Below are 12,412 nucleotides of genomic sequence, written 5' to 3'. Positions count from 1 at the left end.
TGTTGGTTTCAGGACAAGTCTAGAAATAAGAAATCTGCCTTGAGTGAGTGAGTTGGTTCCCTCTGTTGCTATTTCACCATTAAGGACGAAAGGAACTCACAAGGACCAGAGACATCTGGCTGAAAGCAATACTAGTGTGACTGGACATCTACTACCTGCCATAGTTGGTCATATCGTTTCCAGTATGATTCTGATTGAGTGAGTGATATTAGGCTATGTTCAGGGATCAGGGAGGCTAATTATGCTTATATTGCCTTGTAGCATTTTGGTAAGAATTAATGATTGTGTAGATGTCCAGATTTAGGTCAGCAATATTCTAAAAGTTCTCATTGAACTAATCATGTTTATAAGTAGCCTGTACTTTCTATCATAATAACAATAGTGGAAAAGCTAGTTGACATAAAAGGAGCCCAGATTTTACTTAAGTAAAAACACAAAAGCAAAGATATTTTCCCACATAAATTACAAAAGCAAAGATATTTTCCCACATAAATGTCCCCATAAAACAAGTTGAACCAAAGAGGAAAGATGACAGGTAACCGTATGACACGCTAAGAAAGTATCATAATACTTAAGTTAACTTCAACCTTTTATTTCCTTATCCTAAGCAGCCTCTTTTCTCTTTATCATTTAGTCCTGTGCTTCTCAACTTTGATAAGTAAAAAAGTTATTGCACTAAATAAATCTTATTGAAATGCAGGATCTGATTGAGTGGGTGGGGTAGGTGGAATGAGGGTGGGGAAGTTGAGATTCTGCATTTCTTAGAAGTTTCTACTTTATGTTAAAATGGCTAATCCATCTCAACATTGAGAAGTAAGGTTTCACTTAATTTCAGCCTGTGTAAGTTTATCCCATATGTACATTTCCTAAAACTCTAATCTCAGGCCCCAGGAATTTCTCCTTTAGTTAAAATATTTTTAGGAATAAATTTGAATTGCATTAATACACAATTTATAAATTTAACACAAAAAATTATTTGAAGTTTGAGACTTTAGGTTGCATGAAATCAATTTCATACTTGAAAATTTTCTATAAATTCAAAAGTCTGTGTATTTAAATACAATTTAAATACCTGTGTTACAGTGACATTTGTTTTTCTGTCTCTCTCTCCACCATTTCCAGAGTCATCATCCCTGTACAGAAAAATTTTTCCCACATGATTTCACCATAAATTCATTAAATATGATGCTTACTTGATAATTTCTCCAGGTTCTTTTTTTTTTTAATTATACTTTAAGTTCTAGGGTACATGTGCACAACCTGCAGGTTTGTTACATATGTATACATGTGCCATGTTGGTGTGCTGCACCCATTAACTCGTCATTTACATTAGGTATATCTCCTAATGCTATCCCTCCCCCCTACCCCTACTCCATGACAGGTCCCAGTGTGTGATGTTCCCCACCCTGTGTCCAAGTGTTCTCATTGTTCAGTTCCCACCTATGAGTGAGAACATGCGGTGTTTGGTTTTCTGTCCTTGCGATAGTTTGCTCAGAATGATGTCCTTGCTCACTGATGGACATTTGGTTGGCTCCAAGTATTTGCTATTGTAAATAGTGCCGCAATAAACATACGTGTGCATGTGTCTTTATAGTAGCATGATTTATAATCCTCTGGGTATATACCCAGTAATGGGATGGCTGGCTCAAATGGTATTTCTAGTTCTAGATCCTAGAGGAATCGCCACACTGTCTTCCACAATGTTTGAACTAGTTTACAGTCCCATCAACAGTGTAAAAGTGTTCCTATTTCTCTACATCCTTTCCAGCACCTGTTGTTTCCGGACTTTAATGATCGCCATTCTAACTGGTGTGAGATGGTATCTCATTGTGGTTTTGATTTGCATTTCTCTGATGGCCAGTGATGATGAGCATTTTTTCATGTGTCTTTTGGCTACATAAATGTCTTCTTTTGAGAAGTGTCTGTTCATATCCTTCACCCACTTTTTGATGGGGTCATTTGATTTTTTCTTGTAAATTTGTTTAAGTTCTTTTAGATTCTGGATATTAGCCCTTTGTCAGATGGGTAGATTGTAAAAATTTTCTCCCATTCCGTAGGTTTCCTATTCACTCTGATGGTAGTTTCTTTTGCTGTGCAGAAGCTCTTTAGTTTAATTAGATCCCATTTGTCAATTTTGGCTTTTGTTGCCATTGCTTTTGGTGTTTTAGTCATGAAGTCCTTGTCCATGCCTATGTCCTGAATGGTATTGCCTAGGTTTTCTTCTAGGGTTTTTATGGTTTTAGGTCTAACGTGTAAGTCTTTAATTCATCTTGAATTAATTTTTGTATAAGGTGTAAAGAAGGGATCCAGTTTCAGCTTTCTACATATGGCTAGCCAGTTTTCCCAGCACCATTTATTAAATAGAGAATCCTTTCCCCATTTCTTGTTTTTGTCAGGTTTGTCAAAGATCAGATGGTTGTAGATGTGTGGTATTGTTTCTGAGGGCTCTGTTCTGTTCCATTGGTCTATATCTCTGTTTTGGTACCAGTACCATGCTGTTTTGGTTACTGTAGCCTTGTAATATAGTTTGAAGTCAGGTAGCGTGATGCCTCCAGCTTTGTTCTTTTGGTTTAGGATTGTCTTGGCGATGCGGGCTCTTTTTTGGTTCCATATGAACTTTAAAGTAGTTTTTTTCCAATTCTGTGGAGAAAGTCATTGGTAGCTTGATGGGGATGGCATTGAATCTATAAATTACCTTGGGTAGTATGGCCATTTTCATGATATTGATTCTTCCTACCCATGAGAATGGAATGTTCTTCCATTTGTTTGCGTCCTCTTTTATTTCCTTGAGCAGTGGTTTGTAGTTCTCCTTGAAGAGGTCTTCCACATCCCTTGTAAGTTGGATTCCTAAGTATTTTATTCTCTTTGAAACAATTGTGAATGGGAGTTCACTCATGATTTGGCTCTCTGTTTGTCTGTTATTGGTGTATAGGAATGCTTGTGATTTTTGCACATTGATTTTGTATCCTGAGACTTTGCTGAAGTTGCTTATCAGCTTAAGGAGATTTTGGGCTGAGATGATGGGGTTTTCTAAATATACAATCATGTCATCTGCAAACAGAGACAATTTGACTTCCTCTCTTCCTATTTGAATATCCTTTATTTCTTTCTATTGCCTGATTGCCCTGGCTAGAACGTCCAATACTATGTTGAATAGGAGTGGTGACAGAGGACATCCTTGTTTTGTGCCAGTTTTCAAAGGGAATGCTTCCAGCTTTTGCCCATTCAGTATGACATTGGCTGTGGGTTTGTCGTGAATAGCTCTTATTATTTTGAGATATGTCCCATCAATACCTAGTTTATTTAGAGTTTTTAGCACAAAGGCTGTTGAATTTTGTCAAAGGCCTTTTCTGCATCTATTGAGATAATCATGGTTTTTGTCTTTGATTCTGTTTATATGATGGATTATATTTATTGATTTGCATATGTTGAACCAGCCTTGCATCCCAGGGATGAAGCCAACTTGATCATGGTGGATAAGCTTTTTGATGTTCTGCTGGATTCGGTTTGCCAGTATTTTACTGAGGATTTTTCCATCGATCTTCATCAGGGATATTGGCCTGAAATTCTCTTTTTTTGTTGTGTCTCTGTCAGGCTGTGGTATCAGGATGATGCTGGCCTCATAAAATGAGTTAGGGAGGATTCCCTCTTTTTCTATTGATTAGAATAGTTTCAGAATGGTACCAGCTCCTCCTTATACCTCTGGTAGAATTCAGCTGTGAATCCATCTGGTCCTGATGGATTTTTTTGGTTGGTAGGCTATTAATTATTGCCTCAATTTCAGAGCCTGTTATTGGTCTATTAAGAGATTCAACTTCTTCCTGGTTTAGTCCTGGGAGGGTGTGTGTGTCCAGGAATTTATAAATTTCTTTTAGGTTTTCTAGTTTATTTGCATAGAAGTGTTTATAGTGTTCTCTGATGGTAGTTTGTATTTCTGTGGGATTGGTGGTGATATCCCCTTTATCACCTTTTATTGCATCTATTTGATTCTTTTCTCTTTTCTTCTTTATTAGTCTTGCTAGTGATCTATCAATTTTGTTGATCTTTTTAAAAAACCAGCTCCTGGGTTCATTGATTTTTTGAAGGAGTTTTTCTGTCTCTATCTCCTTCAGTTCTACTCTGATCTTAGTTATTTCTTGTCTTCTGCTAGCTTTTGAATGTGTTTGCTCTTGCTTCTCTAAATTGTGATGTTAGGGTGTCAATTTTAGATCTTTCCTGCTTTCTCTTGTGGGCATTTAGTGCTATAAATTTCCCTCTACACACTGCTTTAAATGTGTCCCAGAGATTCTGGTATGTTGTGTCTTTGTTCTCATTGGTTTCAAAGAACATCTTTATTTCTGCCTTCACTTCGTTAAGTACCCAGTAGTCACTCAGGAGCAGGTTGCTCAGTTTCCATGTAGTTGAGTGGTTCTGAGTGAGTTTCTTAATCCTGAGTTCTAGTTTGAAAGCACTGTAGTCTGAGAGGCAGTTTGTTATAATTTCTGTTCTTTTACATTTGCTGAGGAGTGCTTTACTTCCAACTATGTAGTCAATTTTTGGAATAAGTGTGATGTGGTGCCGAGAAGAATGTATATTCTGTTGATTTGGAGTGGAGAGTTCTGTAGATGTCTATTAGGTCCGCTTGGTGCAGAGCTGAGTTCAATTTCTGGATATCTTTGTTAATTTTCTGTCTTGTTGATCTGTCTAATATTGACCGTGGGGTGATAAAGTCTCCCATTATTATTGTGTGGGAGTCTAAGTCTCTTTGTAGGTCTCTAAGGACTTGCTTTGTGAATCTGGTGCTCCTGTATTAGGTGCATATATTTTTAGGATAGTTAGCTCTTCTTGTTGAATTGATCCCTTTATCATTATGTAATGGCCTTCTTTGTCTCTTTTGATCTTTGTTGGTTTAAAGTCTGTTTTATCAGAGACTAGGATTGCAACTCCTGCTTTTTTTTGCTTTCCATTTCCTTGGTAGATCTTCCTCCATCCCTTTATTTTGAGCCTATGTGCGTCTCTGCACATGAGATGGGTCTGCTGAATACAGCACACTGATGGGTCTTGACTCTTTATCCAATTTGCCAGTCCATGTCTTTTAACTGGAGCATTTAGCCCATTTACATTTAAGGTTAATATTGTTATGTGTGAATTTGATCCTGTCATTATGATGTTAGCTGGTTATTTTGCTCGTTAGTTGATGCAGTTTCTTCCTAGCCTCAATGATCTTTACAATTTGGCATGTTTTTGCAGTGGCTGGTACTGGTTGTTCCTTTCCATGTTTAGTGCTTCCTTCAGGAGCTCTTGTAAGGCAGGCCTGGTGGTGACAAAATCTCTCAGCATTTGCTTGTCTGTAAAGGATTTTATTTCTCCTTCACTTATGAAGCTTAGTTTGGCTGGATATGAAATTCTGGGTTGAAAATTCTTTTCTTTAAGAATGTTGAATATTGGCCCCCACTCTCTTCTGGCTTGTAGAGTTTCTGCCGAAAGATGCTGTTAGTCTGATGGACTTCCCTTTGTGGGTAACCTGCCCTTTCTCTCTCGCTGCACTTAATGTTTTTTCCTTCATTTCAACTTTGGTGAATCTGACAATTATGTGTCTTTGAGTTACTCTTCTTGAGGAGTATCTTTGCGGCATTCTCTGTATTTCCTGAATTTGAATGCTGGCCTGCCTCACTAGATTGGGGAAGTTCTCCTGGATAATATCCTGCAGAGCGTTTTCCAACTTGGTTCCATTCTCCCCATCACTTTCAGGTACACCAATCAGATGTAGATTTGGTCTTTTCACATAGTCCCATATTTCTTGGAGGCTTTGTTCATTTCTTTTTACTCTTTTTTCTCTAAACTTCTCTTCTTGCTTCATTTCATTCATTTGATCTTCAATCCCTTTCTTCCACTTGATTGAATCAGCTACTGAAGCTTGTGCATGTGTCACATAGTTCTCGTGCCATGGTTTTCAGCTCCATCAGGTCATTTAAGGTCTTCTCTATGCTGTTTTTTCTAGTTAGCCATTCGTCTAATGTTTTTTCAAGGTTTTTAGCTTCTTTGCTAAAAGGTTCAAACATCCTCCTTTAGCTCGGAGGAGTTTGTTATTACTGATCATCTGAAGCCTTCTTCTCTCAACTTGTGAAAGTCATTCTCTGTCCAGCTTTGTTCCATTGCTGGCGAGGAGCTGCATTCCTTTGGAGGAGAAGACGTGCTCTGATTTTTAGAATTTTCAGCTTCTCTGCTCTGGTTTCTCCCCATCTTATTGGTTTTATCTACCTTTGGTCTTTGATGATGGTGACGTACAGATGGGGTTTTGGTGTGGATGTTCTTTCTCTTTGTTAGTTTTCCTTCTAACAGTCAGGACCCTCAGCTGCAGGTCTGTTGGAGTTTGCTGGAGGTCCACTCCAGACCCTGTTTGCTTGGGTATCACCAGCAGAGGCTGCAGAACAGCAAATATTGCAGAACGGCAAATGTTGCTCCCTGATTGTTCCTCTGGAAGCTTCGTCTCAGAGGGGCACCTGGCCGTATGAGGTGTCAGTCGGCCCCTACTGGGAGGTGCCTCCCAGTTAGGCTACTCAGGGGTCAGGAACCCACTTGAAGAGGCAGACTGTCCATTCTCAGATATCATATTCCATGCTGGGAGGACCCCTACTCTTTTCAAAGCTGTCAGACAGGGACATTTAAGTCTGCAGAAGTTTCTGCTGTCTTTTGTTCAGCTGTGCCCTGCCCCTAGAGGTGGAGTCTACAGAGGCAGGCAGGCCTCCTTGAGCTGCGGTGGGCTCCACCCATTTCGAGCTTCCTGGCTGCTTTGTTTACCTACTCAAGTCTCAGCAATGGTGGACACCCCTCCCCCAGCCTCGCTGCTGCTTTGCAGTTCGATCTCAGACTGCTGTGCTAGCAGTGAGCCAGGCTCCGTGGGCATGGGACCCTCCGAGCCAGGCCTGGGACATAATCTCCTGGTGTGCCGTTTGCTAAGACCATTGGAAAAGCACAGTATTAGGGTGGGGAGTGTCCTGATTTTCCAGGTACCGTCAGTCATGGCTTCCCTTGGCTAGGAAAGGGAATTCCCCAACCCCTTGTGCTTCCTGGGTGAGGTGATGCCCCACCCTGCTTTGGCTCATGCTCCGTGGGTTGTACCCACTGTCTGACAAGCCCCAGTGAGATGAACCCGGTACCTCAGTTGGAAATGCAGAAATCACCCGTCTTCTGCATCACTCACGCTGGGGGCTGTAGACTGGAGCTGTTCATATTTGGCCATCTTGGAACCTCCCTTTCCAAGTTCTTTATTACAGAGTGGGTCACTGAAACTTCATGGAACAAATTGGAAATTATCTTCTTAATTAATGTCACTGTCTACCATGTATGGGAATTTGGTAAATATTATATGGTTTCAATAACATAGTAGATAGAACATTGTCAAATCTAAACTTCAGTGAATTGTAACAGATCCCACCTGAAATTCTAAAGAAAACAGAATTCTAATTGAAGAGGTTAAACTTTTACAGGGAATGTCAACTGCCATTTGGGTCCTGTAAACAAAAAACTGTTTTTTAAAAAAGTAAACTTTAAAAGTATTTTCAGATGACCTCATTTGCTATCCAAGTGGCTTGAGTATGCTTGATGCTAAGACTTCTTTGTTACAGACTGGAGATGTGTGCTACTGGGGCAGTGTTGCTCTGTGACAAGGAGGCAGAGGATGAGGGCAAGGTTCGATGTGACTGTGAATTCTGGGTGGCTCTGGCTATCGGGAGCCTTCATTGATTACAGCAAAACAGTTGCTTTCCTAGGGCAATAGTGTCTCTGTCACCCAGGCTGGAGTTCAGTGGCATGATCAATCGCTCACTGTAGCCTCAACTTCTTAGACTCAAGTAATCCTCCCACCTCAGCCTCCCAAGTAGCTGAAACTACAGGTGTGCACCACCACACCTAATTTTTTTAATTTTTAAGTTTTTGTAGAGACATGGTCTCACTGTGTTGCCCAGGTTGATCTCGAATTCCTGGGCTCTAGTGATCCTCCCGCCTCGGCCTCCCAAAGTGTTGGGATTACAAATGTGAGCCACTGCACCTGGCCCTTTGCAACCTTCTTGACAATGCATTCCTTTATTCCCTAACTGGAAGTAACTTCTTTCTCTTTATAAAATTGTATCTGTACCTTTTCTGGGTCATTTCTACCTTTATATTCTAGTTACGTATGTCCTACCTCCCTCCTAGGGAGGGAGGTAAGTAAGACTGGAAAGTAGACTTCATGTGTGATGAATGAATGAACAAAAGGAAGTCTAACATATGGATATAGTCAACTGGATGCAAATTAAAAATTTTTAAATATTGATTTGCAAGATTTCATTAAGGTCAACTCTTAATAGTTTGTATCATATATGTTAGGAACCAAATATTAATAACTTCTTCAGCATTACCATTATCTTTATAGGACTGTCTAAAATGAGCAGCCATATCTTTAAACTGTGTTTTCTCTGATTACACGCTCACAGGTAAAACCCAAAGGGGCTGGGAACAAACAAGACTTTTTTTTTTTTCTGTATGCCTGAATTATCTGTACTGTTGCTTGTTTTCCCACCTTTGGCCATAGAAACTTAGTTCTAACATGCTACAATTTTTGCAGTTCTTTCTCTTAGAAAAAGACCACATTGTCTGAAATTTCATCCATTTAAGTAATCAAGCCTTAAAGTTGAAGGATCTTGGTCATGATTAATCTAGACCTACAAAGTAGTATCTTAATGGCACTCCTTTTAGAAAGTTAGGTTCCAGGACACACATAGCTGCAGTGTCCACATTTTGTAAGCTCCTTCGTTGTCACAGCCACTCTCTTCTCTGTGGCTGATATTCTAAAACTGGCAACACATCCTGATGGTAAAAGCTTGGTTCAGGAGACAGGTGACCTACTAGCTTTATGGCATTTGACAGGTTACCTAACCTCTCTGACGCATAATTGCCTCATCTATATAATGGGGATAATAATACCCATCCTGTCTCCTTGTAAAAATCAAATTAGATGACGCCTGTGAATGTTCTATAGTCTCTTAGACAAATGTAAGTTATGACTACAGCAAGAGTAAAAGAGCATGTTGTTATGGACATTCTTTCAGTGAAATGTCTAAGACTTGTGAGTCACACTTAAAGCTAAACTTGATATCTACTTCATTGATTTTCTTTTTAGTTCTATGTACTATATTGAATTTCCTGACAGTGGGGCTATGAAAGCCTTCCTAGCATTTTATAGATGTGGTTGAATTAATGGCTGTAAGCCTTAAAGCAGAATTAGACAGCATCAATGAATTTATTAAGTATAAATAAATATATAATCTGCTTAGCAATATTACACAGCCTCTTTATCTTATGTGTGATAAAGAGTCATCCGAAGGTTGAAAATGAAGAATTGTCCTGGAAGCTCTTACTTAATCTTTTATTATTTCCTAATACAGTATATAAAATTACTCATTGAAAGCTTAGCAGAATAAGAAACAAGAAGTTAAAAGGCTGAAAACTACAAATTTTGCTATTATTATTGTTATTACTTCCCAAGTCTCTTATTGATCTGTTAGAAATAGAGCTACACAGGAAATTGTAGGACAGTTAGTATGTGGTAGTGTTATCTGCTTTTTAATTATTCAAGTAAGGTTTTATTCCATTAGAGGAACTCAAGAAGTTGGTCATGGCTGATAATTGCTATCTGTCAAATTCCTTAGAGCAGGGATCCGCAACACCCAGGCCATGGATTGTTACCAGTCCCTGGCCTGTTAGGAACCAGGCTGCACAGTAGGAAGTGAGCGGCGGGTGAGCAAACATTGCCATCTGAGCTCTGTCTCCTTTCAGATCAGCAGCAGCATTAGATTCTCATAGAAGCATGAGCCCTGTTGTGAACTGCACATGCAAGGGATCTAGGTTGTGTGCTCCTTATGAGAATCCAATTCCTTATGATAATTTAACTGATGATCTAAGGTGGAACCATTTCATCCCAAAACCATCCACCCTGCTACTCCCAGACCGTGGAAAAATTGTCTTCCACAAAACTGGTTCCTGCTGCCAAAAAGGTTGGGACCACTGCCTTAGAGTTTATAATTTGGGGTTAGCACAGCCTATATTTACCTGAGAATTTCAATGGGTTCACTGATCTTTCCAAATGAAAAGGCTTCTTACGAAAATTATATCCAAACTGTCTTTTCTCTTAGTTTAATAAACCTATCAGTAAGTTTTTACTGAGTACTGCTATTACATTTTTCTCTGTTAAGCATTATGGGGGCTCAGACATGATCCATTCCCTCAAAGAACTTACCTTTCAGCTGAAGACTGACTAGAATGAGCAAATACGGTTAACAATTAACAAGTGAGTAGGCCAGCTCGGCCAACATGGTGAAACCCTGTCTCTACTAAAAATACAAAAATTAGCCGGGCATGGTGGTGGGCGCCTGTAATCCCAGCTACCTCCTGCTGAGGCAGGAGAATTGCTTGAACCCAGGAGGTGGAGATTGCAGTGAGCCGAGATTGCACCATTGCACTCCAGCCTGGGCGACAGAGCAAGACTCTGTCTTGGGAAAAAAACAAAACAAAACAAGTGAGAAGGGAATCAAGTACTACGTAAGATGTAATGTGGAATTTTAGGGAAGGAAGGCAGTGTATGCTGGAGTAATTAGAGAAAGGGGCATGCATGATTTGATGCTTGAACTGGATCATGAAGGATAAGCAAGATTTTGGCAGCAAGTGAGAGGGAGAGAGGAGTTTGTCAGAGGAATGGAACAAGTCAGGAGGCAGTAATGTGTACGGCACTCCAAGGACTCTGTCCTGATCGGAGCAGAAGTGATGAAGCATTGAGTAGTTTGAGAAAGTTAGCTAAGAAGGGTGAGGGCAGATGTTGGAGAGAGTTGAGTATCAGAGAGAAGACATTAGATTTGAGCAGATAGAACAAAAATGCCATTGCCAGTTTTTGTGTAAGAGAATAGTATTAGGGTGGTTACCCAGGAAGTGGTCATCAGAGTTGAATGGAGCAGAAAGAGTGTCTGATACAGCATCGGGACGTTGTGGTCACAAAATGAGGTGGTGAGGGCTGAGCCAAGATGGTGGCAGTGGGATGGATAAAAAGGGATGGCCAGGACAAATATTTTAAAGGAAAAATTAACAGGACATCTTTACTGACTGGATTGGAAGGCTATGCAGGAAATATATTGTCAAACTTGATTCCAGGATTTCTATCCTATGCCTGGGTTGCCCAAAATATCAGGGAACCATTGTTAGAAAAGGTAGGAGATACCACTGTTCCAACAAAAAGTATTGAGTTTGGTGTTGCACCCACTTAACTTCAAGGCCTTACAAGTGAGTAGACAGTTAGTTAGAATTGCAGAAGTGCCACTCAGAGAGCAGGGCTTGCAATGTGGGGTTGGACTTTGTCACCATTGTGTTAATTCCTAATTCTATGCAGATGCTCAGCTTGAGGAATACCCATGTTTGGGCTTCAGAATGAAAGCCAAGTAATATTTACTCAGATGCCAATTTTCCCTCTGAAATATTTGCTCATGGAACTGAGAGAACAATATATAAAGCATTAATTATTTTTCTCATAAAGTTATTAATAAAAAGATAAGATCAGTGAAAGGCAGAGTAAACTAGAAGCCAAGTATAGAAAATGGTATCATTCAAAGACTCATTACTGTAGTGGTGAAAACAAAACAATTTTCCAACAGCTTAAGATGCCTCAGTATTTTGGACCATTTTTAAGTAGTTAGTGTGGGCACTTAGTAAATATGTATTAAACTATAGTTCATTAATTCTTTTTTTTTTTTTTTTGAGATGGAGTTTCACTCTGGTCACCCAGGCTGCATTTTTGCTTTCTTAGTGATATATAAAATGTCGAGTTTCACAATGATGGTATCTTAGATTTGATTAAATATGGTATTAAAAAATAGCTGATCACAGAAAGTCTCTACCAGTGTGATGTAGATGGCTAAAGTATTCCACATTTGCAAACTTTTATTGACCTAAATAAGAGGTGCCCCTTGGGTTGTTTTTATTTGGACTGGGAATATTAGGAGAAAGCTTTTTCATTCAGTGTGTAAGTACAATCTACCAGAAATAGAAACCCCCATGGACGATCTATTTCTTTGATGGTACAGGACTCAGAACATTCACAAAGATTTAGTTGTTAGCGGAATAGACATCTGTATTTTATTCAAACCAATTTTCCCTTCCTAATCTGAGAACATTGTGCAATCTAAGCAGTTCTAAGCATGTTTGCTATTCGTGCAAAGTGAGAGTAAATCTAAAAGAAATTTTTTTGTGTGTTTAGGGATGGTAATAAAGTCTCTTAGTGGTTGAAAATGTTATTTCTTACAAAAGTGGAGAACATTTGCTTTTCAATACCAGAGTTTTCAGCCATTTCTGCATTCTGACCTATTGACTGGAGGTAGGTTGCCTTTGAATTCAGTAAAACTTCATGGGC

At 39.4% G+C, this 12,412-nt stretch overlaps 1 protein-coding gene and 1 long non-coding RNA gene across 20 annotated transcripts in view; one reads left to right on the top strand and one right to left on the bottom strand.

Moving 5' to 3' along the window:
• The window catches only part of BDNF-AS (BDNF antisense RNA), a 191,320-nt gene that overhangs the window by 25,640 nt on the left and 153,268 nt on the right, over nucleotides 1-12,412 (bottom strand). The window lies entirely within an intron of this gene.
• BDNF (brain derived neurotrophic factor) overlaps nucleotides 1-12,412 on the top strand; it is a 67,138-nt gene that overhangs the window by 49,499 nt on the left and 5,227 nt on the right. The window contains exon 3 of one of the 15 annotated variants that reach the window (NM_001143811.2): nucleotides 12,260-12,376. The gene's annotated coding sequence lies outside the window, so the exon portion shown is untranslated. 15 annotated transcript variants of the gene reach the window in all.

The sequence above is a fragment of the Homo sapiens genome, chromosome 11 (assembly GCF_000001405.40).
Source record: "Homo sapiens chromosome 11, GRCh38.p14 Primary Assembly".
Taxonomy (NCBI): Eukaryota; Metazoa; Chordata; class Mammalia; order Primates; family Hominidae; genus Homo; species Homo sapiens.
Note: the sequence above shows the minus strand (reverse complement) of the source record. Positions and strands in the feature narration are given on the sequence as shown.